Raw genomic sequence first — 25,818 nt, 5'->3', positions numbered from 1 at the left:
ATCTCTTGAGTAGCAAAGCCAAAACTGAACCTATTTCTGTTTAACTCCAAATGCATTCCCTTAACCAACTATGTGTATTTCAAGCTTTTGGATAGAGTTCTTTGGCAAAGATTTTGCCTTAAATACCACTTAGTACAAAAACCCTTTCTGTATTTGCAAACAATATCCTGGCAACTTGGCTTTTGGTGAGCATTCAAAAACTAGTCTCCTTTTCACATGTCTACAAAGTTAAGAGGATCACCTGCCCTTTCAGGTACTTGGGAGAAGAAAAGTTGACAGCAGAAGAGCCGTGGAGGTGCCAGCATGCTGTCCTCAGCGTAACTCTGCAGTAGAAAGGGAATGCAGGCTGGACCTGGGAAGCTATACTGACTCTGCTCATCTGCTTCAATTAACGTTCTTGACAAAGCAGCATTTCGGAGCAAGTGCTTACTATTTATGGCTTTAAGAGAAAGTATTTTATAAATTATATGCTCCTTGTTAGTTTATCAAAATAAATATTAAAAAGATAGGCTTTCTCGCTGACAATATTTTATGTCTATGTCCATCAATTGAAAGAAAATATTATAATCTTTCCATATAGTATGTTTTACCTAGTTTTTCTCCCCCCTCAAAAATTAAAGACTAGGGGCCAGGCACAGTGGCTCATGCCTATAATCCCAGTACTCTGGGAGACCAAAGCAGGAGGCTCACTTGAGCCCAGTAGTTCAAGACCTGCCTGGTCAACATAGTGAGACCCTGTCTCTACAAAAAAAAAAAAAAAAAAAAAATTACCTGGGTGTGGTGGCTCTGCCTGTAATCTCAGCTACTCGGGAGGGAGGCTGAGGCAGGAGAATTGCTTAAGCCCAGGAGTTAGAGGTTGCAGTAAGCTATGATTGTGCCATTGCACTCCAGCCTAGGTGACAGAGTGAGGTCCTGTATCAAAAAAAAAAAAAGAAAAAGAAAAAAAAGAAAGGCCAGGCATAGTGGCTCTCACGCCTGTAATACCAGCACTTTGGGAGGCTGAGGCAGGCAGATCATGAGGTCAAAAGTTCGAGACCAGCCTGGCCAACATGATGAAACCCCGTCTCTACTAAAAATACAAAAATTAGCTGGGCATGGTGGTGCGCACCTGTAGTCCCAGGTACTTGGGAGGCTGAGGCAGAAGAATCGCTTGAACTTGGGGGGCAGAGGTTTCAGTGAGCCCAGAGCATGCCACGGCACTCTAGCCTGGTAACACAGTGAGACTCCGTCTGTCTCAAAAAAACAAAAAACAAAAAACCTAAAAAAGCCCTGGTAAACACTTTCCTTGGGGAATGTGGGGGAAATTATATGAAAAATACAGTCTTCCCATTCTCATTTCCCTAAGAGAACTAGACTAAAGACACCTAGACTTAGTAGTATAATACTTATGGTCTAGAATAAGTAATGCAAACGGTGAGTAAAAAGTTAAACAGGTCTTTGGTTCCAGCCTATTAATGAACTTTAGAAAGACTTTTTAATTATGTATTTTATACATCATATATATCTTCAAAAACATGTTTCTCTGCTGACAGCCATTCTGGGTCATAAAGCTGTGTGACCTGTGTATGTTCTCTTTAGCAATACATTAGTTCTGGACGCTAGCTCCATCACGTACTACATGTTGATTAACAAGCAATTCTTAAGTGACCTAAGCTTCTCTTTCCTCATCTGTAAACTGTGGAAAATCTCATTTAGCCCTCACCACCACCTGAGGGTTTAAAGAGATGACTGATGTCAAGTACTTTGCACTGTGTCAAGGGTTCAATAAATCTAATATGTTCAGCCTAGATAAAGAAGTCTCTTTTATTCAACAGTCTTCACCCTTTTCTCTGTGTTGCCTGTTTGAGGAAGATTAGCTGTAAAGAACTTTAAATGGATCTAATTTTGTTTCCTTCTAGTAAGTCTACAATTCCTTACCTTTCCCTAGGCCTAGGTTCTCAAACTTGAGCTGCATCATCAGAATCACTGAGAGGGCTCTTAAAACACAGATTGCTGGACCCTCCCCCCAGAGTTTCTGATTCTGTAGGTCTGGGGTGGGGCCTAATAATCTGCATTTCTAGCAAGCTCACAAATGTTGCTGATGCTGTCTGAAACCATACTTGGAGATCCACTGTAGGCTAGCTGGCAGGCCATTTTTCTGCTAAGTCTGTAACCAGCCTGTGAAACCTCAAGCAACATGCTTAACCATTTTAATCCTCAGTTTTGTAAACTGCAAAAGGAAGCTAAAAAGACCTACTTAAAACAGGGTTGTTTCGAGGCTTAAGTGAAATAATGCTTAAATCAGAGGCACTGGAGCCAGAACCACTCCATCTTGAACAGGGCTGGGTAAAACGAGGCTGAGACCTACTAGGCTACATTCCCAGGAGGTTAGGCATTCTTAGTTACAGGATGAGAGAGGAGGTCAGCACAAGACACAGGTTACAAAGACCCCACTGATAAAACAGGATGCACTAAGGAAGCCGGCCAAAAGCTGCCAAAACTAGGATGGCTAGAAGAAAGTGACCTCTGGTTGTCTTCACTGCTCATTATATGTTCATATGAATGCATTAGCATGCTAAAAGACATTCTTACCACTGCCTTGACAGTTTACAAATGCCACGGCAATGTCCGGAAGTTACCCTATATAGTCTAAAAAGGGGAGGAACCCTCAGTTCCAGGAATTACTTCCCCTTTCCTGGAAAACTCATGAATAATCCACCACTTGTTTAGCATATGATCAAGAAATAACCATAAAAATAGCTAACCAGCATCTGTCAGGGCTGCTCTGTTTATGGAATAGCGATTCTTCTGTTTCTTTACTTTCTTAATAAACTTGCTTTCACTTTACTCTGTGCACTCACCTCTAATTCTTTCTTGGGCGAGATCCAAGAATCCTCTCTCTTAGGGTCTAGATCAGGATACTTTCCTGATCATTTATACCATTTGTCAAGTGCAAGGTCCAGCACCTAGTGAGTGCTCAAAGTAGTAGTGATTTACTACTGTCTGTGCTAAAAAACACCTGTCATGATTAATTTTATATGTCAACTTGACTGGGCTAAGGCTGATGGCTGATGAAATATTACTTCCGGGTGTGTCTGTGAGGCTGTTTCTGGAAGAGATTTGTGTTTGAATTGATGGAATGAATAAAGAAGATCTGCCGAATACAGGAGGGCACCATCCAATCCACGGAGGGCTTGAACTGAACAAAATGGTGGAGGAAGAATGAATTCACTCTGTCTTGATCTGGGACATTCAACTTGGATACTGATGCCCCTGGTTCTGGGGCCTTTGGACTCAACTGACACTTACACACCATTGGCTCCCCTGGTTCTCTGGCCCTTCAGGTTTGAACTGGAACTGCCCTACTCGTTTTCCTAGGCCTCTAGCTTATAGACAGACGATATAAGATTTCTCAGCCTTCATAATTGTGTAAGCCAATCCTTCATAATAAATCTCTTCCTACCTATATATCTCTATATATCCCATTGGCTCTGTTTCTCTGGAGAACCCTCACTAATACAGCACCCTCTCAAAAACAACCAAAACAAGTAATGACAAAAATAATTTCTGAAAATTTTCAGGAATAGGGAATTCAGTGGCATGAAATTGCACAGGTTTAAAGAAGTGCAATTTTATCAATCGAGAAGGGACTTCAAAATTATTAACTTGATTTTTTAAAAAAATTTCTTCTCCCTAGACTGCTCAACAGAAAAAAGAATTCATTTTAACATGTGCTGTATATTTCATCTGACTGTTCATTTGTCCACACTTGAATGAACTCTGTTAATTCAATGGCTACACCACATGCATTAAGAGAGTGCAATTCCAAAGAGGTGTGCAAAGAGAATGAAACCAGGATGTCCTTAGGGTCTCTTCACCACTAGCCTGATGATCTGCAAGACTGCACTCATCAACCCTAATTAAAAGGATGCCCTGGCCAACACCCTCCTGTTCACCTGCGGCCCACAGACACGGCTTGAGGTAGCTAATATTGAGCATTTTTCTCTTTATACTGCAGGTTGAGAAGAAGCAATAGAGAATCAGCACTGTAATTTTAGCCATTGTGTTTAATTCTTTAGCATAGTACAGTAGTACTTGAGAGACCTAAGTAGATCCTCAGCTAGTTCCTTATGAAACTGCCTTTGCAAAAATTGTATCAGTGAGAAAAATTATAACAGTTAGCTAAGCTAACCCACCTCCCACCTTGCCTTTTCCTTAATTATTCCTGGGCTTTTGGATGAAGGTAACTTTGGGAGATGTTTAGGCTACAGTTTAAATGATAACAGGCATTGCCCAAAAACCAACCACTTCTGTTTGAGAGGAGGGCCTGAGTCCTGCTAAGGTGCAGACATATATGACTGTCAGCCATTATTCTGGATGTTAGAAGACATGCAATGTCCCCAGTTACTTCTGCAAATAACATTGCCATTGTAGAAACTAAGACTGGCCTTTTGAGATATCTTTTCAGGTTTTTTTTGCATGCCTCACACCCATGTCTCCACCTGGACCCACCTGGACTTGCCAACCCCACTCCTATGGCCCCACCCAGAAGCGATTCAGCATGATTTCATCCCTGCCCCATCCAATCAGCAGAAGCCTAGACCCCGCACCTCCTCTTCCCTCAAACTGCCTTTAAAAAACCCCTAAACTAGCAGCTTTGGACAAGATGACTTGAATACTAACTCATCTCTCAAGTGGTGTGGCTGGCCTTGTCTCTATTAAACTCTTTTATTTTTATTTATTTTTTTTTTGAGACAGAATCTTACTCTGTCACTGTCACCCAGGCTGGAGTGCAATAGCGCAATCTGGGCTCACTGCAATCTGTGTCCCAGGGTTCAAGTGATTCTTCTGCTTCAGCCTCCCGAGCAGCTGGGATTACAGGTGCCTGCAACCAAGCCCAGCTAATTTTTGTATTTTCAGCTGGGATTACAGGTGCCTGCAACCAAGCCCAGCTAATTTTTGTATTTTTAGTAAAGGCAGGGTTTCACCATGTTGGCCAGGCCGGTCTCCAACTCCTGACCTCAAGTGATCTGCCCATCTTTGCCTCCCAAAGTGTTGGGATTACAGGCGTGAGCCACCACGCCTGCCCAAACTCTTTCTTTACTACAATGCCATGTTCTTTCTTTGTGCAGCTGGCAGCAAGAACCCCTAGGTGCTTACACTTATATTTTAATTTAATTGCCCATATTTTTTCCATACTTTCTTCCTGTCTTGTGTTGTTTCCACAAGCTCCTTGTAAATCTAGTGGGACCCCAGATTTCCCTGTCTAGTTTCCTAATGGATGCATCTCACATTTTTCCATGAATAAGACGTCCTTCTTGCATCCTTGAAGCATGGATCTCAAGGATTACCATTTTCCATGAAACTGACTGAGACACTATTTCATGGGGGAGATGCTTCCATTCCTCCAGGAAATAGAGTTATCTTCTACTTTTGTGAAGAAATAAAAGCAAGCCCAAAGAAACTTCAGAGAGGGAAGAGACATGAAAATGAGAAGAGCAAGCCCCTGCCCTACCCCACAAAAATGAGAGCATCTTAGAAAAGAAAGGTGAGCAGTCTGTTATGTATGCAGCAAAAGGTGATAAACTGATACAATGATCTATCAAGATAAGGAAGAGAAATAGAGGGTGACTAAATTAAAAATACAACACAGTAGTAAAAGAACACGAGGAGTAAAAATAATTACTTGAAACTAGAATTATTTCATTACTACCATTACCATCAAAACCAATTTGTTACTCATTTCTATGTGGCATTGTTTGTCTTCTAATCCAAGTGCCTGCTCATTTTTTTACATATTATGTTCTATGGCTGCTATTGGGCTACAATGACAAAGTTGAATAGCTGTAACAGAGGCTGCAGGACTCATAAAATCTAAACTATTTAATATGTGGTCCCTTACAGAAAAAGTATGCTGACCCAGTTCTATGACTTTTCAGCATGAGATGACCTACAATACAGACCTTTCCTTAAAGGTCTCATGCTTGGATGACAATGAGCTCTGAGCTTTGGGAGCATGAGAGACCAGATAATATTATCAGCACTGTTATTTCAAAGGCTGGTCTAGAGGAAGGAACAGGCCTGAATGTTGTTTTGGGTTTTTCTTTGCAAAAATCTGGCTGATCTTAGTTTTTGCTGCTTTGGGTTGTTTCAGTGTTCGGGCCAACTGAGGTGGTGCTCAGATGCCTGGCCTTGGCTTTCTTCTCACATCAGGAAGAAGTCACACAGCTGTGCTGACAAGAAAAGTGTGTGCAGACTCGTAGAATCCTAAGGAGAACAACTGATATTCTTCGACCCATCCACCTTAACATATCCTATTTTTCTGGCACAGAGATATTAAGAAAATCGCCCATGGAGACATAGTCAGGAAAAGGAAGGATTAAGCCTCTAGCTCACCTTCCTTAAAGTCCTGGTCTTCTCCAACCTTTTGGCCCCCGCCTACGAATCATCCTTTGTACGGCCTCCAGAGTAACTGTCTCCAAAATATAAATCAGATCATGCCAGTCCCTGTTGAAAATGGCTTCCCATAGCAATCAGAACGAAATCCAAACACCTCGGCCTGGTTCTACACCATTTATTCTCGTACTTAAGTGTGCACCGGACTTCCTTGAAGGGCTTGTTAATGCACATACGCCTGGGCCAGTTCCTGGAGTTTCTGATTCCATAGGTCCGTGGGATGGGCCTGAGAATGCGCATCTCTAATAAGGTTCTGGGTGGTGCTGATGATGCTGGCTTGGGGACCACACTTTGAGAGAACTACTGCTCCACATGAGGGGCTTCTGCCTGCTTCTCAGAATTCTCCTCTTACCATGCCCTGACCATGATGCTCACTCCACCCTTGGTGCTCTTCTTTCGACATGCCAAGACTATGTTTGCCTCAGAGCCTAGCATTTGCTGTTTCCATGTCTTGGAATGCTTTTCCCTTAGTTCTTGGCCAAACTGGCTCTTTTTTTTTAATTTTTTTTTAGACAGAATCTCGCTCTGTCACCCAGGCTGGAGTGCTGGAGTGTAGTGGTGCAATTTCAGCTCACCGCAACCTCTGCCTTCCAGGTTCAAGCGATTTTTGTGCCTTAGCCTCCTGAGTTGCTGGGACTACAGGCGCGCACCACCATGCCTGGCTAATTTTTATATTTTTAGTAGAGATGGGATTTTGCCATGTTGACCAGGCTGGTCTCGAACTCCTGATCTCAGGTGATGTGCCCGCCTCAGCCTACCAAAGTGCTGGGATTATAGGTGTGAGCCACCGCACCTGGCCAATCTAGCTACTTCTTATCATTCAGCTACAACTTCAAATGCCACCTCCTGAATAGGGCCTGCCCTGACCACCCAACCCACAGCAATGTCCCCTCCCCTACTCCTCAATGTCTGCCTGTCTCTCTGATCCCTCTATCACTCCTTTTAGTAACATAAGAGTATTGAACACTGCTGGAAGCCATTCATTTCTATGCTTATTGGTTTATTGTTGGTCTCCTGCCGCTGGACCATACACTCCCAAAGGACTGAGACTTTGTTTGTCTTGTTCATTGCTTTATCTCAGCCTTCTAGAGCAGTGGTTCGCACCATGGATTAAGTTGTAATGTCTTTAAAATATTTCCGAATTGTTAAAGGGCCAACTGTACTCAAGATTGTTTATCATCATTAAGTTGCTATATAGCTTGTTGTAGCCTAATGATTCCAATATGATAATTCACATACAATATACAGAGTGTGTGAAAGACTCATATAAGTATACACATTTACGATCTTACCCCTAATTATAATTCAGAATATTCTGTCAGAGGTTCTTTTTCCTCAAACCTTTCTGTGTAAATAGACTTTCTGTTTATGTAGACGGGGTTTCACCACATCTCTACTAAAAATACAAAAGTTAGCCGGGCATGGTGGCACATGCTTGTAATCCCAGATACTTGGGAGGCTGAGGCAGGAGAATTGCTTGAACCCAGGAGGCGGAGGTTGCAGTGAGCCGAGATTGTGCCATTGCACTCCAGCTTGGGTAACAAGCACGAAATTCCGTCTCAAAAAAAAAAAAAAAATTCCTCTACCCTGAGGAATGCAGTATCACCCACATAAGAGGGTGAGTGAAGGAAGCCTGTGGCTGTGAGGGTCTTGGGGTCCTCATTCCTTCATCCCATCAGGCAGCAACAATCACCCTGAGAGAAGAGGACTGAGAGAGGAAGATGCGCCCATGTGTTCATCCTCTTGGATCATTTATTACGTTCTTCCCTTTCTATTCAATGTATTTTTAACTAGTATTAATGTGATTATATACAAAATGCTTCTTAGGTACTACAGAAGATATCACTTTTGCTTTTGGTTCTTCGTCATTTCAGAAAGAAACAATATAAATGCATCCATACATGTACCCCCTTCTCTGGCATTCTCTCCACCTTGCATCAGAGCTGTCCAGTTCCCGTGCTAGAAATTCCAACCTCATTCTACACTTATTCTCTCACATACTCTACATCCACCAGGTTAGAAAAATCTTCTCATTTATTCCTACACTCAAAATCCTCCCGTATTTCTCCATATGTGTGACTGACTGTCCATTAAGTCCTTCAAGCCCAACACTACCCTCCAGACCACTCCCACAAGGAATCCAGCCACATCCACTTGTCACTGGTCATCCAGAACTGATCACTGCCCTGCTGAAACCCCATCAAAGGTTCCCTAGAGCTTTCTGAATCAAATGCCAATGCCCTGGGCTGGAAAGTAAACCCATTGATGGTGTGGACACTGGCCATCTCTGTGCCTTCACCCCTGTACTCCACTGCCCTACCCTCTGCCCTAGCTGAATAATCCCCTTACCCCCTCAATAGAATGTGCTGTCATACTCATGCCCTTGCAGAAGCCCTGGCCTCTCCCTTCCTCTTAGCTGTGCTTTGAGTGGTTGACTGACTCACCTATCAAGACTCAGCCTGAAACGGGCCTCCTCATTGAGGCTTCTGGGGCCAGTCCCCCAGCCCTGCTGCCCCTTCCTCTCCTCTCACACCACAAGGAGATCATTCTACCACCTTTCTCATCACAATATGCAAGTGGAAGAAAGTGGAGGGGTGAGAGTGAAAGGGCTTCAGGGCCACATGCTGAAAGCCTAGAGTTTAAAACTGAGAAGCCCAGCCAGTGGTGGTGGTGGTATAGCGGTGAGTACAGCTGCCGTCCAAACTATGAAGCCAGTACTTACTGCAGTGCATAATAAAGTGGCACCAACAGGTTTCTGTTCCATATGTCCAACTCTAATAGAGACAGGAGCTTAAGAAAACAGGACTCATGGCAAGACAGCCAGTAACTAAACTAATTATCCACCAGGAATATGCAGAAATCGGTTTCTTGGAATAAAAACACAGCAATTTAACTCCACTTAACGCATTTTCACTACTTTTTCTCCCCCAACTCCAAATTTGAAATTATTTTATTTTTGGTTTGTGATTGGCTACTTTTATACTTTAAATCATATCTGCAAGCCTCTATTGTACATCAACTACCAACCTTCCCTCTTGCTGAGAGTATAAAGCCTCTGGACTTTCCTCTGTTTCTCCAAGTCCCTTCTAATTTCCAGCATCTGTCTGGCACCCTTACTTTAAATAGATAAAGGTAACAGCTTTTTTGTTATGCTTGGTCAAAAATAATTAAATGTTTTCTCTACCCTTAGGTTGATTATAAAAGTTGAAAAACTAATAGGTTGATTATAACAGTTGAAAAACTAATTTATTATGATTATTATCATTTTGATGACTGTAAGTATCTTTTAGTGTAAATACAGGTATATCTGGACATTGTTTTATAATTGAATTTAAATTATCTCAAGCTTAAAAATAATATGCAAAGATGGCCATCCCTCTTTTCATTGTTACATCAAAGCATGATTGAAGAGGCATACCTAAGAATGATTTACTTCTATAGAAAAATGTATTTTTGGTTTGACCTACTATTTACTGTTGTTTGGGACATAGATTCTTCGAAGTTTAATAGATAGCATTTTTCTGCTGTTATTCTATAATGATGTAGATGACTTGTGTCCAGTAGAAAAAGGCAAATCTATAATAGGTTAGAGTTTTATTGCCTTATAGGACATTAGCCAGTTTTGTATCTAATTGACAAAACTTACTTCACTTTTCCTTTCCTTTCCTACGTAAAATTCTCTTCCTCAAGTGCTCTTGGAACTAGCTTTATCATCCTGCTAATGTCCTCCCTGATTAGTTAAATATATCTTTTAATCAAAATACTTTATATGAGGCTTGTGTTTTTAAGTCTTTTGAAAATTGTATTTGGAAAGCGCTTTGCTTTGCTGATGAACAGCCTGTGGGGTGTAGGCTGCTTGAGCTTTTCTGAGCTTCATGGTGTGGCTGCTCACAATTTGATTTCAGAACCACCTTGGAAAGAGGCCAAAGTCAGCCTGTCCCACTGTGCCTGACTTTAGGTTTGTATTGACCCTGCACTTTGATACTCCTTTGATCCTGACACCTGCAATAATTGTCTCAGTTTTCCTCCACCACGTGTGTGTGAGTGCGTGCGTGTGTGTGTGTGTGTGTGTGTGTGTGTGTGTGTGTGTGTGTGTAGGGTGGAAGGTGGGGAGGCTAGTATAAAGACCAAGAAGACCAAGACTTTGCTAGGAAAAGGGACTCCATCTAGGCAGCTGGACTCAGATACAAGAAAGTCCCATGGGCAAGAAGAAGGGGTAGCCCGAGCTGGGATTTATGATGTGGGAAAGACGAGGTCAGTGGCTGAGGTGAGTCATCCATAAAACATTTGAACCCCTGCTCTGGCTGCCCCTAAGAAGAACTGGCTGATGAATTCTGGAGATTCCAACGGAATGCACTGAGAATGCTTCTTAGTGTCAAGAAGGGAGAATGGAATTTTAAAATCTGGTTGTAGTTTGAGTTGATTATCTATGCCATCCAATAAGAAAGCCACTAGGCCCATGTACCTATATGAATTTGAATTTAAATTATGTAAGATTAAAAACTTAAGTCCCTCAGTCCCAGTAGCCACATTTCAAATGCTGAACAGCCACATGTGGCTGCCATAACGGCAACACAAATGTAGACCATTTCTATCATTGTGGAAAGTTCTGTTGGTGAACACTTATCTATGATGGCAGTCTCCTTCTTAAGAATAAAGCTCTTTTTAGATTTTGTGTGTTTTAAGGACATACTTTGACTTTCAGGCTTATGCAAAAGGGAGGATCTCAGGAGAGTCTGAGTAGGAGAGTTTGAGGTGAAAGGGGAGCCAAACAGCTCCAGGATGAGGAGGGACTTGAATTTTGAAGTTTTCTTCTTTAGATTGAGAGACAGAAAATGTTTGACAGTTAAGAAAAAAGTATCTGGAAAAGTGAAAAAGGACTCTGAGTGTGATTAAAATAAAATAAAGGAAACAGGAACAGGAATCTTGATGGAGGAGAGGGACAAAGAAGAAAAAAGAGAGACACTCCTGGTTGGGCTGGCTAATGAAACTTATTCAGCATGATCTCCGATTTTTAATCTTAAAGTTGTCTTGGTGTGGTGTATGATGCAATTCTCCTCTGCTGCCACTAAATCTTCAGTAAAAAGTCTACTTTATACAACATCCTTGTATTTCTGGAATTTGATGTTAAAGTGGGTTTAGGGAAGGAAACAAATTGGAGTAGTCAACAGTCCTGGAAACTGAATGGTAGCCAAGCATTTGAGGACATAAGTCATCATCAAAAGTGGGTAAGCACCTAGGAATTCTAGGAAAGACTGGGAAGGCCCTGACCTGCCAGGGAATGGGTTCTTCAGATCTTTGATGTGGATATTATAGGAAAGTCAGGGGGCTGGTTGAGTTAGAGATATCTGGGTTGCATGTATTTTTAAAAACACTGCTATTTCTCTCCTCCACAAGAGACGAATCTGTCTTTTAAAGATTTAATGTTAAGCATCACTTAGGAAACAAAATATATTTTGCATTTAAGTAACGTGTAAGTCAAGTAAAGTTAGAAAAGTACAGAATTAGAAGTGTCATGGCAATACAATCACAGCCTACCACTTAGGTCATTTGTAAAAATCTGGCTGCCTCAAAAATAATTCTTCAGTAATGCAGAAATAATAAAATAAACTTTAAATGCATTTGCACTTACTACATTTATTGACTATTTTTAAAACAGTGCCTATTAAACATTTTTCCCCCACCTACTGACTGCTTACTCCCTGCTCCCTTTTTTTATTTATTTTTTTTTATTTTTTGAGACACAGCATCACTTTGTCACCCAGGTTGGTGTGTGGGGGCGTGATCTTGGCTCACTGCACCCTCTGCCTCTTGGGTTCAAGCGATTCTCCTGCCTCAGCCTCCCAAGTAGCTGGGACTATAGGCATGTGCCACCACACCTGGCTATTTTTTTTTATATTTTTAGTAGAAATGGGGTTTCACTGTGTTAGCCAGAATGGTCTCAATCTCCTGACCTACTGATCTGCCCACCCTGGCCTCCCAAAGTGCTGGGATTACAGGCATAAGACACTGTGCCCAGCTGCTTTCTTTAAACAAATACATGGAATACAATTTTATGTTTACCTGCTATTTGAGTTCATGATGATAACGTTAGTTATCATATGGTGCTGACAGCATTTATGCCCCTTCACAAAAGGTACCTTTGCTATGACACTTTAGGGATGCTTGGGTTTTGTTTCTCTAATCTTATTCCTCGCACTGGCTTTCAGCTGTAATCCCTCATGGCTGTTCATGTACCAACCATAGAAACGAACCTTTTCTGCTTACATGTTGTTGCCTTAAATGTTTTCATGGCTCTGGCTCTAAAGAACTGAGTCTTATAGGAGTGGGAAATAATTATTTTTTAAACTGGCTGTCATCCAGCTTGAAATATTCTTCAGCTTTGTGGTTTGGTATGTTATCATGAAGACGCATGTTTGCTTTATAAAGTTAAAATGTTTTTGCTCAAAATCCTAGTAAAATAGCACTTGAAAGAGTTGAAAGCTTAGTTACATTTTATTTAATACTTGTTCAAGGGTTCTTTTCTTCTAACTTTGCCTAGTTTGTAGAGGAATCCAGAGGAAAAGCAAATGCCTTTAGAAGCACAGGTGATCAGTATTTCCTAATATGAGCTGTGATGATTAATAATCAAAAAAAACACAAGCAATAAGAAGGATTCAAATGAATCTCTGGTTCATCAAATCACATTTCACTGTTGTCAAGTACTTTTTTCTCCAATAGCTTTTTCTTACATAACAGTAGGAGATATACTGAACCAATGATTGCATGTAATCTCTTCAAAATTACCTTCTCTGAATTATTAGTCTGAATTGGAATCAACTGGATCTAAAATCATTTTAGATGCTAGACATCCACAAAGAATTTGGTGGTTACAGGTATTCTGCTAGTCCCTGGAGAGAAAAAGATAAGTAAAATATGATCCCTGACTTCAAGAAACTCAGAACATAGTTGGAGAGAAAGAAACATTAAATAAAATGTGAAGGCAGTGTAAAATATGCAAGGATAGGTTAGTGGTGGCAAAAAATAAGTTATCGCCTCTTATTCATTCAATGGGTCAAGGAAGATATCACAGAAGTGGACATTTCTCATCTGGGTTCTGAGATGAGAGGAGTTCACCAATCAAACCAGTTGGAATAAATACATTTCAGGAAGAGGGAGTAGCATAAACAAACCATGTAGTAGAATAGTTTATGGGGGAAACTGTAAGTGGTTTGCTATAGTTGAACATACGCTGTATGTTGGAAACTGGAGAGAAATGAAGGTGAGGTAATTAAGCAGGAGCCAAATTATAGAAGGCCTTGTATTTCATTCTGTGAACTTCCCTTTACGCTACAATGGGAAGTGATGGAAGCATTTTAAACACAGGAGAAATGGGATCTGCTTTATATTTTAAAAATATTACTCTATGATCTCAACCATGGGAGAGAGAAAAAAAAGAAAAACAAATATGAAAAAAGACTAGAAGAAAACTGCATAAGAATTAACAGTGCTTGTCTCTGGATGGCAGAATATTATTCTGTTTCATCTTATAGCAGAATGCAGTTCACTGTTATTTTAATTTCAGACATATGAACAGCTATTACTTCAATATTTTAATTCAAACAAGGAATAGTAACCATGTTTAGGTCCATCCTTAGCATTTGCAATTTTGTTTACTTAAAAAGTGACTATCCTGTAAATCTAGAGATGCACCCTGCAGAAATATCAAGTCAACAAGTATTAAGCTATGTCAGCTCACAGAAGACCTAGTTTCTGCATCTGACAATCTGGATCTCTGGGAAGATCAGCGAATTAGCCACTTCATACATTTCATTGATTTTGAAAGGAACCAACTCTGACTCTAAATGAAGTTTTAATATGTTTTACTTTCAACTTCTTGGTAAAGGAAACATCAATTTCATTATACACTCCTTCCCAAGTCACCTCAAATTCAAGTACAACAGAAGAAAAATCATGCATTTACAATGCAAATGAGGCTTTAATTCACCTACCCAGCCATTCTGAACAGATTGGTGGCCCAAAGCCCCTGCTCTATAGAAAGTCTGGAGTCATCACCACCTTGCAAGGGCACAGACAATAAATGATAGAATCAGAGGCATGCAAAGCTTTGGTCAAAATGGTTTATATCAATGAAATGAGCAAAGCAATGACTGGCACAAAGTTCAATCACTATTACATTTATAACACATACAAAGTTAAATGTAGAATGACTGCCAAAAGCACTGCATTAAGCAAAAACTGTTACTATATAAAACCCATCTGTAAACTGAGAATATTAATAGCAACAACCTTGTAAGGTTGTTGTAAAAAATTAAACAAATAATACACATAAAATGTTTAGAAGGTCATCTGGCACATAGTGAGCGCTCAAAAATTTATAGTATCATTATCATTATTACTCTAGCTCATAACTTGCCTCTTTTCAACAACTCCAACCTATAAATCCTAAAGATGTTCTTACTTATGTCAAAGAATATTTACTCAATACTGTAATTAAAATTTAATAATTATTAGAATGTTTTGAGAGAAAAGATTAATAACACTTCTTTACCTCCTCGTATCTGTCAAAAACTGCTCCTTCTTGCAAAAAGGAGGGAACTTCCTTCTGCCAGTTAAATTCATAAGGTTTGGCCATGATTATATTCAAGACCTAAAAATGAAAAAGAATAGCTCGTTAGTATATAAAATGAAAAAACAATTGAGGATGGTTAATCACTTCGCATTTCTGTGTTTGCAGAAGATTTACTTTAAATATGTGGAATACGTTTTTTTCTTCTTCCCTTTGTCTGACCCCCAACTTGCTTTCTTTTCTCTAAACCTGGAGATATCATAATCAAGAAATACCAGAGGTGATCATTTGGGAAGTTTCCATTCCCTCTCCAAATCCTACAAAATAACAAGATGTGTGTGTGTGTGTGTGTGTGTGTGTGTGTGTGTGTGTGTGTGTGTGTGTGTATTCTTTTTTTAAAATCTGAAGGCACCAGATAAAATAAGGAAACCGTAGACCAAAATCAATACATAAGAGAGGCCTGCTGTAAATAGCTAAGGGCACTATGGGCTTGAAGGTGAACATATGGGCAGGAGGAGCCCACAGGGTATAAGTTGCAGAATCACGTAGGAATAGCCAGAATTTTTTATAGCTCTTGGTCCTCTCTTTAGCCCTCTCTTAGGCTCCCTTTCCCCTACCCCTTTGTTCCTCACCCCTTGGGCCACGTGGGGAACAAGAGAACTTCTGATTTTGAGACAGCCAGCTCATAGGGGGTCCCTGGAGAAACTCCAACCAGCCTGCCCACTGAGGTGGGGCCTCGGGGTGTTCACAATGTTTGTAGCAGAGAGGAGTCTGGCCCCTCCTCCTTCTGTGTGGAACTTGGGATTCCAGTGGCCTAGAATGAAGCCCTCTAGCAGGGATTCTGGGCTTGCAAGAGTCCCTGTTGCCCCATTTTCTTCCTTTTTACCCAATGAAACCCTGTCTTACTCGCCATTTAAATTGCCTGTGAGCTTGAATTTTCATGGCTGTGGGACAAAGAACCCTGTTTTTAGCTGAACTAAGGAAAAGTCCTGCAACAGTTTTATTATAGACAGTGAGTAGGACATTTAAAGAGAGGCTAGGCACTGTTCAGAGTGGCTCCCTGCAACTAGGAAGAACTCAGCGTTCCTTTTACCCATCCTTGTTGGCAACATGCACCATGGTATGTATGCAATAACTACAACCCAAACATCTTGCATGACAGGGGAGCATACAACAATGAGTCACCAAATAGTTAAGCAATGCAAAGAACATGGAAGAACACCAAACACATCAAGTAAAACTTACACCCAAGGAAAGAGGGTGAGCAGGAAAAACAGGACCTGACTTCAGCATACTGATTTTTTCAGAGGGAAGAGAGAGTATATTCTGTTCCTAAAATATAATTAACCACAGATACTAGAAATTTAAAACAAGATTGTTGAAATAAAACTTAATAGATGAGCTGAATTGTAAAGAAAACTCAGATGAAGTGTTGAGCCAAGGGATTCTTAAAAATGCAACACCACGCCGGGCTCAGTGGCTCACGCCTGTAATCCCAGCATTTTGAGAGGCCGGGGTGGGGGGAGGGGGTGGATCACCTGAGGTCAGGAGTTCAAGACCAGCCTGGCCAACATGGCGAAACCCCATCTCTACTAAAAAATACAAAAATTAGCTGGATGTGATGGCAGGCACCTGTAATCCCAGCTACTCGGGAGGCTAAGGCAGGGAGAATTGCTTGAACCCAGGAGACGGGGATTGCAGTGAACAAAGATTGCATCACTGCACTCCAGCCTGGGTGAAAAAGTTAGAGATATAGAAAATAGAAAGGAAAGGTTTACCAACCTTATATGGAGACAATGGAGGGATGGAAATAAAGTAACAGTAGAAGAACGTTTCTGAAACCTGAATATTTGAGTCCTCAAAGTGAAAAAATCCACTGATTCCACGTAGTATAAATGGGGGAAAAAGATATACACCCCCAAATATACCTCATGGTGACACTGAAGACACAAAATATGCAGAAATGATGAAATCTCTCAAAGATGCAGGAAGAGAAAAGATAAGCTAGAGGTAAATGACGATGAGACTGATATCAGGTACATCATCCACAACACTAAATGCAGTAAGACAATTTTGAAGTTCTGTGGAAAATAAATTTGGATTTAAAATTCTGTGTTCAATACTGTTTCAACTTTTAGGAGAAAAATGTAGTTATTTACAGACTTGTAAGTAATCAGAAAGATTTAGTAATCTACTCTGAAAAATTTAATGTATTATATACTCTGTCAGGGGAAAATAAATAGAGAAATAAGAGAGAGATGGGAAATAATGTTAAGAAAAATAAAGTAAAAAGAAACAATAGGCTTAATCTTAAGTTTTATTGTACTATGCCAAAAAAGTAGAAAAGAAAAAATATATTTAAAAATTAGCCAACCCAAATCCTAGATTATATCAATATATGAGTTGTGGCCAGTGAAGTGGTTGGAGGAACAAAGTATGAGACAAAGGGAAGTAAAACCATTTTGGGAAGGGAACAGAGATACTAAAAACTCTAGACATCAGTAGGAAAATAGAAGTTTAAATATGGGTGCTATGAATTTAAGAGTTCTCCTATAGAAAATTAAAATTAAAAAAACATAACTCCCAAATGATTAGCAGGGGAGAAATAGCAAAAGAAACTCGAGCCTCTTTTAAAAAGTAACCAGATAAAGAATGGAGAGAAGACAGGAACATATTATAAGTAGGAAACACAAAATAAAATGACACATCACTAAGCATAGTAAATACGAATTGGTTAAATTCACTTATAAAAGATGTTTTCGGATTAGGTAAAATTATGGTTGTTTACAGAAATATTTTGAAAACTATCTAAGAAGTTTGAAAATGCAGGGATGTTGGGGGGAGGGGGGCGGGATAGCATTTGGAGAGATACCTAATGTTAAATGACGAGTTACTGGGTGCAGCACACCAACATGGCACATGTATACATATGTAACTAACCTGCTCGTTGTGCACATGTACCCTAAAACTTAAAGTATAATTAAAAAAAAGATAGAACTAAAATTAAAAAAAAAAGAAAATAAAAAAGAAAACGCAGGAATGAAAAAAGATACCATAGGCACGTGCTAAGAAAAAAAGAAAACAGGTGTAACAACAACATGAGACAAACAGACTTCAAGAGAAAAAGCAGAGGCAGAGTAATAATACATCACATTAACTGCCATTAATATCTAAGCATGTGAGCACGCAGCATCACAACATTTGAAAATTGACAAAGTACACGGAGAAATTAGCAAAGTCACAAACAGGAGACAATGATTCTCAGAATAACAGAATAAGAAGACAAGTAAGAATCTCGAAGATCTGAATATCATACTTAATAATTTAGTACAACAACTTAAATAACTCAAAGTAACACAATTTAAATAACAGTACTTAATGATATTTATTCTCTCTCTTAATATATTTATTCTCTCTCTAAATACATTTTTTTTTCTTTCCCTCTTTGCACCCTGGCTACCCACACACATGTGACAATCTCAAAATCCGATCACGATTAGGCCCTAGAGGAAATTTCAGCATTTTTCAAAAGGCAGAAAATATTGTGGTCATGCTCATTGACAACAACAAGGAAACATATAAATTAATGACAGAGAGTGTACAACATCTATATACATGGAAATTAAACATTCACACCCCCCCACACACACATACATACACCCCTTAATCATTCTTGAGTTAAGCAGAAATTATAAACTTTTTAGAAAGAAAAGATGAGAGCATTACAAACCAAAACCTAGATATGTAATATGTAGCCAAAAAAAAAAAAATAGTAAAACAATGATCAGTAAAAGCAAAAGTTAATTGTTTTCTGAATTGGATATATATTTGGCAAGTACTTAGAGCAAGAGTGAGAGACACAGAGAGAGGGAGATTTAGGTGGGGGCAGAAGGGAGGATGAGGAGGAGGAGGTGGCTGCAGCACAAACTCACAACATTTACAATGAAAAGTGGGATATAATTAAAGAATGAGAATGTGAATATTCTAAGAGAATATTGTATATAACTTTAATCAGAATATTTTAAAAGCTAAATAAAAAGTATATATCTTTCAAAGTTAAAATACATTTGGCTTAAATTACTACAGCCATTGTCAAAAACAGTATGGAGGTGCCTCAAAAAACTAAAAATGGAATTTTAGTTTTTTGAGGAACTAAATGATCCAGCAATCCCACTTCTGGGTATTTACTGGAAAGATCTGAAATCAGTAGGTCAAAGAGATATCTGCACTCCCATGTTCAATGCAGCACTATTCACAATATCCAAGTTATGGAATCAACCCAAGTATCCCACAACAAATGAATGCATAGAGAAAATGTGGTGTATTATACACAGTGAAATATTATTCAGCCTTAAAAAAGGGAAGAAATTCTGTCATTTGTGACAACATGGATGGAACTGGAGAACATTATGCTAAGTGAAATAAGCCAAATACAGAAAGACAAATATCCATGTGCTCACTTACATGTGGAATCTATAACAGTTGAACTCATAAAAGCAGAGAGCAGAACAGTGGTTACCAAAGGCTGAGGGTAGGGGGAATGTGGAGTTGATAATCGAAGTATACAAAGCCTTCTATCAGTTACACAGAAGAAATAAGTTTGACTTTGAAACCTTTTGCATAGCTTGGTGAATATAGCATGTATGTACACACATAACCACATAGCTTCTACCCAAGAAGCTTAGAAACAAGCTTCTGAGGTAGATGATGTGCATTCATGCCTTCTATGCTATAAAACAGATCTGCAGAGAAAAATAGACCCACAGACCCCCCTTAATAACCAACTACAGGGAGCTAAGTGTTAGCTTGAAAAATAGATTAAAAAACAACATGGTGGCCATCCCAGTTTGCCAGGCTGTGAAGAATGGTGGGCAAAACATCTCTTTTCTGCAGAATTTTATGTGTTCTATGATTGTCTCACTCCTGACAACCATCCCTTTTAATTCATCCCTTTGGTTTCATTTTAAATCAGTAAGAGGCTTTGGATACAAAAAGTTTATATCAAAAATAAAAATAAAAAAAAAAAGCTTTTTACAGTTTGCATATCTTCCATTGGTTTAACTCTGGTTCTCCTAGAATCAACATGAGTACCCAGTATATGATGTTTCTCAGACCTCACTACTATTCTTAACTACTAAAATATTCATCTCTACCTTGGGTACTAATTTCATCACAATAGTCTCACTATATGAAGAACTTTGGAGGTGAAGGAGGAGGGTAATTTTGACCTTAATCTCTTCTGCAGTGGAGGTGAAAGTTCATTTCATTGCTTATTCCTTCATAGCATTGGGGTTCAGAACAAGGTAAGAAGTATTCTGGCAAAATGATGTTGGAGTATCCTGAGTGTTCCCAATTTGAAACTGGTGGCTGTGGTCGAGGCTGTTCTTTGTGCTATCTGTGGAAAACTTCCTAGGGCCTGGCATCAGGGGCACTAGCTGGGTTATTTTACACACATGGTACAATGATGACCTACAGACTAGAAAATGTTGACCCAGCCAATCCTGTTTCACTACAGTTTGATCCAGATAATTGATTTAAAATGGGAACAAACGAAGGTACACATTATAGTCCCAGTGACTGCAGAGAATGTTAAAGGGACAGTTACTTCTTTTTAAAAGAGGGGAGGAACTGGCCACCCTATAACTACATTCTTATTGCAATTATCTCAAATCCCAACCCACAGCCAACTAACTGGCTTGAAAAAAAAAAAGGCTTTGATTGTACCATGCCAAAAGTTCCTCTTCTCAAATTCTCTAGCTTGCCTTCCAAGGCCTCACTTACAAGATATTTCAAGGTTTAATTGTCTCCTCCACCTCCTAGAATGGCATCATCTCACCATGCAGAGCCCACAGGAAAGGATCCACCTTCTCTTTGAGGAACACGGGAAGTGGAAGAGACTTTACATTGTCAAAGAATAGACAGCCTGAAACCTCTTGCAGTGTAAACACATTGAGCAGTTACTGGAAGGAGGCCAGAAGGCTTTTAAATAGTCGCATTGTTCTAAATCCTTGTGCAACTGGATCGGATTAGCTATTGCACTAGGGCAGAGGAAAAACTCCCTGGACTGCAAGAAACTTTGGAAGCGGGGGACAAGAAAGAAGGGGAGTCCTAGAAGGTCTTGTTCCAGAGCAAGTGGCAAAAGCTCCTCCTAAAGATGATAATAAGAAACTGGCAGAGTTAGGAGGAACACAAGGGGGCTGAGGTGGGCTGTCGAGGGGCCAAATATTCAAGTAGGACATGTGCATTACCCATAAATATGGCCTTCTATCCATTCGGTTGGGGTGAACCAAGGAAGAGATTTGGTTTTCTTGGCCTACTCTGTCCTGAGTCTTTAAACCTGCTGTCTTGTCTTCCTTGCTAGACCTATAAGGTGGTCTTCAGGAATTACCAGACCACCTATCTCAGATGTGCTGGATCAACTTTAGAGTCAGTGCTGCTCACCCTCCCTCACCACCACCCCCAACCTAGACCAGTTTAGGTCAATACTTTCACAAGGAATTTTTTGTCTCTGGACATGTGCCTCACGTTCTGGTAGAGAGTGAACAGAGGGCAGTATGTGAAACCAGGCATATCTAAGGTACCTGGGTATGGCAGGCTGAATAAATGGCCCCCAAAAGATACCCACCTCCTAACTGCTGCAACTCGCGAATGTTACCTTACAGGGCAAAAAGGGACTTAGCAGATGAGATTAAGCGAAAGATCTTGAGATGGGGAGATTATTCTGGATCATCCAGGTGGGCCCTAAATGTCCTTACAAAAGGGGAGCAGGGGAAGTTTTGACACAAGCAGAAGAGGAGGAGGAAATGCGACTACGGAGGCAGAGATTAGAGTGATGTAGCCACAGTTCAAGAAGAGTTGGCAGCCACCAGAAGGTGAAATAGGCCAGGAATGGGTTCTTCCCCACAGCCTGGAGGAAATGTGGCCCTGAAAATACCTTGATGTCAGACGTCTGGCCTCGAGAACTGTGACAGAATAAATTTTGGTTACTTTCAGCCACTAGTTTGTGCTAATTTTTTATAGTAGCCCAGAAAATGCATATATTGGGCCCCCTGAAGCTGAACACCTTTCTTAAAAGAACTAAAAAGTTGCCAAATAAGTTTGGAATGCAGTACAGACTGCTCTGATTTGAAGGGAATGGTCATTCAACATGTGTGTTCAACTGAATCATCAGAGGAAGACAGAGAGAAAAGTACAGAATAAACTTCACCTAGAAATGAATTCAGATCATTCCTGTCCTTCTGTTCCAAAGCCCCTTTGAGGACTAATGACATTATTTCTGCATACTCTTCCCCAGGTTCCAAATGTCTTGTAACAATTTTGCATCTCAGCAATAAATACAAACTTCAAATCCTGCAGCTCCCCCGAAGCCAAACAAGGTGTTCTTCATTTTTTATTCCTATTTGTGAAAAAATGAATTCATCTGAAAAAGCATTTGCTTCTACTTGATAACATATAGCTTTCAAGTGAATAAATGCACCATGACTCAGTTATAAATTTTATTAAGTGCAACTTTTAACTTCAACCTTATGACAAAAAAATTTCCATAACAAATTAATCCCTTCCCCATCCAACCATACAAATCCCATTAAACCAAATAACCCATGACCTTAAGTGACCTCATGATGGCACAACCAAAGTTGTTTTCCAGAACATAGAGAGTTGGGATAAAATTTCCACTGACCACAAGTAAATCAGTTGAATCTATCACACATATTTCAGTGCCTTGCTCTTCAATCTTTAAATAAGATATCCTTATATTTCTAAAAACATATCAACAAGCTGTCATCAGATCATCCAGGGCTTTTAAATAAATGGCTTTACCTCCAGTAAGAATCTAATTTGACATTAATATATTGTATCATTAGGGATAACTTCCCCATTTGCAAAAATACCTCCATTTTTATTAAGCCATTAAATAACCTTTTCAAAAAACATACAAAGAGTACAGGAAGAAAAATATGATAATATGCAATGCTGTTGATGGATGGGGTGAGGGCATATCTGGTAAAAAAGAATTTTGTAATACATTTCTATAGCCTTGAAATATCCATACTCTTTTATCTAGTAATTGTACAAGTAGGATTTATCCTATGTAAATGTGTACAAAATCTATGCACAAGAATACTGTTGTGCTGTTTATGGTAGAAAAATATTGGCCTTATATAATCATCACTAAGCAATTGATTAAACACACTCTAGTACTTAAATACTGTACCCATTAAAAATAGTACTTTAAAGGAATAGTTATTTGCTTAACAATAGCAAATTTAGAAGAGTTTCTAAAAATATTCACAACTCTTGTGAAGCAAAGACAAATGCTCTTAACATACAGTTAAGAAAAAAAATAACCACAGGCTATAAAATTACACGAGTCTGATCCAAATTTTTATGTTATATATTATACACATATTGCTTACATATGTACACTGTTTTACAACGGGAAAAACTAGCAAGACATATACCAAAACAAATAGTAGTTACAGCTAGCTGATGTAATTTTAGAATTTTCTTTTCTTTAATACTTCCCTGTATTTTAAAATATTCATAGTGACTGTAATTTTTATATTCCAGAAAAAATATTTTCTAAAGCAAATGGAGGATACAATTTTAAAACTTGTTTCTTTTCATATAAATTAGTCTTAAAATAATGTCTATGTTTTCTAGCAGAAATCCTGGCAAGAACAAATAACAGGAAGAGATAAATACATAAAGCTGTAAAACGTTGTTCTCCCCTTTCAGAATTTAAAACCTTCCCTGTACAATGGGAGCCTTCACACATCCCAGTTATGACTGATCCTTATTCATTACTTAGTAAGGAGTTACTTAATATACTGACTAAAATGAACGTTAACTGAAACCTCTGCAATACTTATATTTGGGAAAAAACTGATTGTGATGGTACTGGAATTAGACTTTAATGAATTCTGGGCTACAAGAAATCTATGGCCTTTGCTATGATTTATCTATTATAAAGCATCACATGATTAAAAACAATTTCCTGGAGTGTATTAAAAGAACACAAATTGCACAGGAATAAAATAAAAACAGAAAGCAAGCATTCGCTATTTGTCCCTGCCTCTCGTACCTCAATATTAATCATAATTGAGGGGCAAGTGTAACTTCCTTAAAATTTAATAATTACAAATAGATGAATAAAAATATTAAAGTGTACTGCCTTTATAAATTTATTAGGTGATATTTGTGATCATGCTATTGGTTCCATTACATCAAGATTTTAAAAAACATGTCTAAAATATGTTTAGTTACCTGGGGTGAAGATCCAGGTTTATAAATGTATTAGATGACATTTGTGATCGTGTTATAGGTTTCAATCTATCAGGATTTTACAAAACATGTCTAAAATATGCTTAGTTGCCTGGAGTATTTAGAGATCCAGCTTAATTTAAATATAATGAATAACTGTCAATATATTCTAGGGAAGAAAAAGTAATATCTTTCCTCATCCATCACAAAGTTCATGTCTGAGACCCTCTATAACAAAAGACAGGTTAACAAGAGAGACATACAAATTTATTTAATGTAAGTTTTATGTGACACAGGAGCCTTCAGAAACAAAGACAGAAATTGAGATAATCGTATATTTCTATGTTTAGTTTTGATAAAGAATGGATAGTCATATAGAAGCATGATTAGACAAAAGTGGGTACGATATAATGGTCTTGAACTGGGGGGAACTGAGAAAGGTCTCTTCACATTCTTCTTGGTATCTTTGTGTTATCATTCCTTCCCTCCAGGCATAAAGTGGGACACCTGTCACATGAAGGTGTCTCAGGAAAGAAGGTCAGAGATTGACCTTCCAGCTTCTGCAGTTTTCTCAATTTCCTTTATCTCAAAATACTCAGTATGTCAAGGTGCCATGTTTTCAGGTATTGTGTTCTGAGCCCTGGCAATTTAATTCAATCTGCAATAATCAGTTTCAAAGAAATTAGAATACAACGAAGTATAACAACTTCCTAAGAGAATAACTGAGCTGTTTCAAAAGATTGTTTGGATGTTGGTTGTTTGCCTGTAGCAATTCCCTTGGAAATGACATCTGAGTTCCTATGCCAGCCCTCCAAAATCCTCTAGAACACATCAAGGAGCTGAAATCGTATTAAAAGTACATAGTTGTCCATGACTGAGGTTTTCCAGCCTGATAATCCCTTGTCATTCAACTTTAGAATGGTTCAAGCTAGGGAGCAATAATGGTACAGGAGGGCTCAGTGGCAGAAGTGGGGCCTATCTACACGTGATGTCCTCTGAGGGGTCATGTTCTTAAGTGCTTAGTAAATCCACCCCTGGCTTAACAGTATTTTGATCTTTCAGAAACAGAAGATAGTTTGTATATTAATCTTTTTTAAATTTCAATAGGTTTCTGGAGAACAGGTGGTGTTTGGTTACCTGAATAAGTTATTTAGTGGTGATTACTGAGATTTTGTGCACCCATCACCCAAGCAGTATACATTGTACCCAATGTGTAATCTTTTATCCCTCACCCCACTCTGACCCTTTCCCCTGAGTCCCCAGAGTCCACCATATTATTCCTATCCCTTTGCATCTTCATAGCTTGGCTCCCACTTATGAGTGAGAACACGTGTACACACATATTAATCATTTTTATAGTAGTGAATTACAGAAGTGACCGCTAGAAAGAAATTTTTTTGATAGCATGCAAGATATATCAACCTTTAGCAAAAAAATATATATATGGTGTGGGGGGGGGTGCGGGCTATAGAAGCCTGAGGAAAGGAATATATAATCTAACTGGGTTTTTCTCTTTCATGAATAATAAATCTATTTTAGTAGAATTTGTT

At 39.2% G+C, this 25,818-nt stretch overlaps 1 protein-coding gene across 16 annotated transcripts in view; it reads right to left on the bottom strand.

Annotated features, from left to right (window-relative positions):
- Nucleotides 1-25,818, bottom strand: part of PLCB4 (phospholipase C beta 4) — a 412,131-nt gene that overhangs the window by 157,924 nt on the left and 228,389 nt on the right. For 14 of the 16 annotated variants that reach the window (XM_024451898.2, NM_001377134.2, XM_005260724.3 and 11 more), the window contains one exon: nucleotides 14,987-15,085. In XM_024451898.2, the coding sequence (XP_024307666.1) occupies nucleotides 14,987-15,070 (84 nt within the window). In that variant the 5' untranslated portion in view covers nucleotides 15,071-15,085. Of the gene's footprint in view, nucleotides 1-14,426; nucleotides 14,494-14,986; nucleotides 15,086-22,211; nucleotides 22,231-25,818 lie in introns of those variants that run through there. The other 2 variants (XM_047440203.1, XM_047440204.1) reach the window with 2 other exon arrangements.

This window comes from Homo sapiens, chromosome 20, assembly GCF_000001405.40.
Source record: "Homo sapiens chromosome 20, GRCh38.p14 Primary Assembly".
NCBI classification, from domain to species: Eukaryota; Metazoa; Chordata; class Mammalia; order Primates; family Hominidae; genus Homo; species Homo sapiens.
This window is presented reverse-complemented; position numbering and strand designations above follow the sequence as displayed.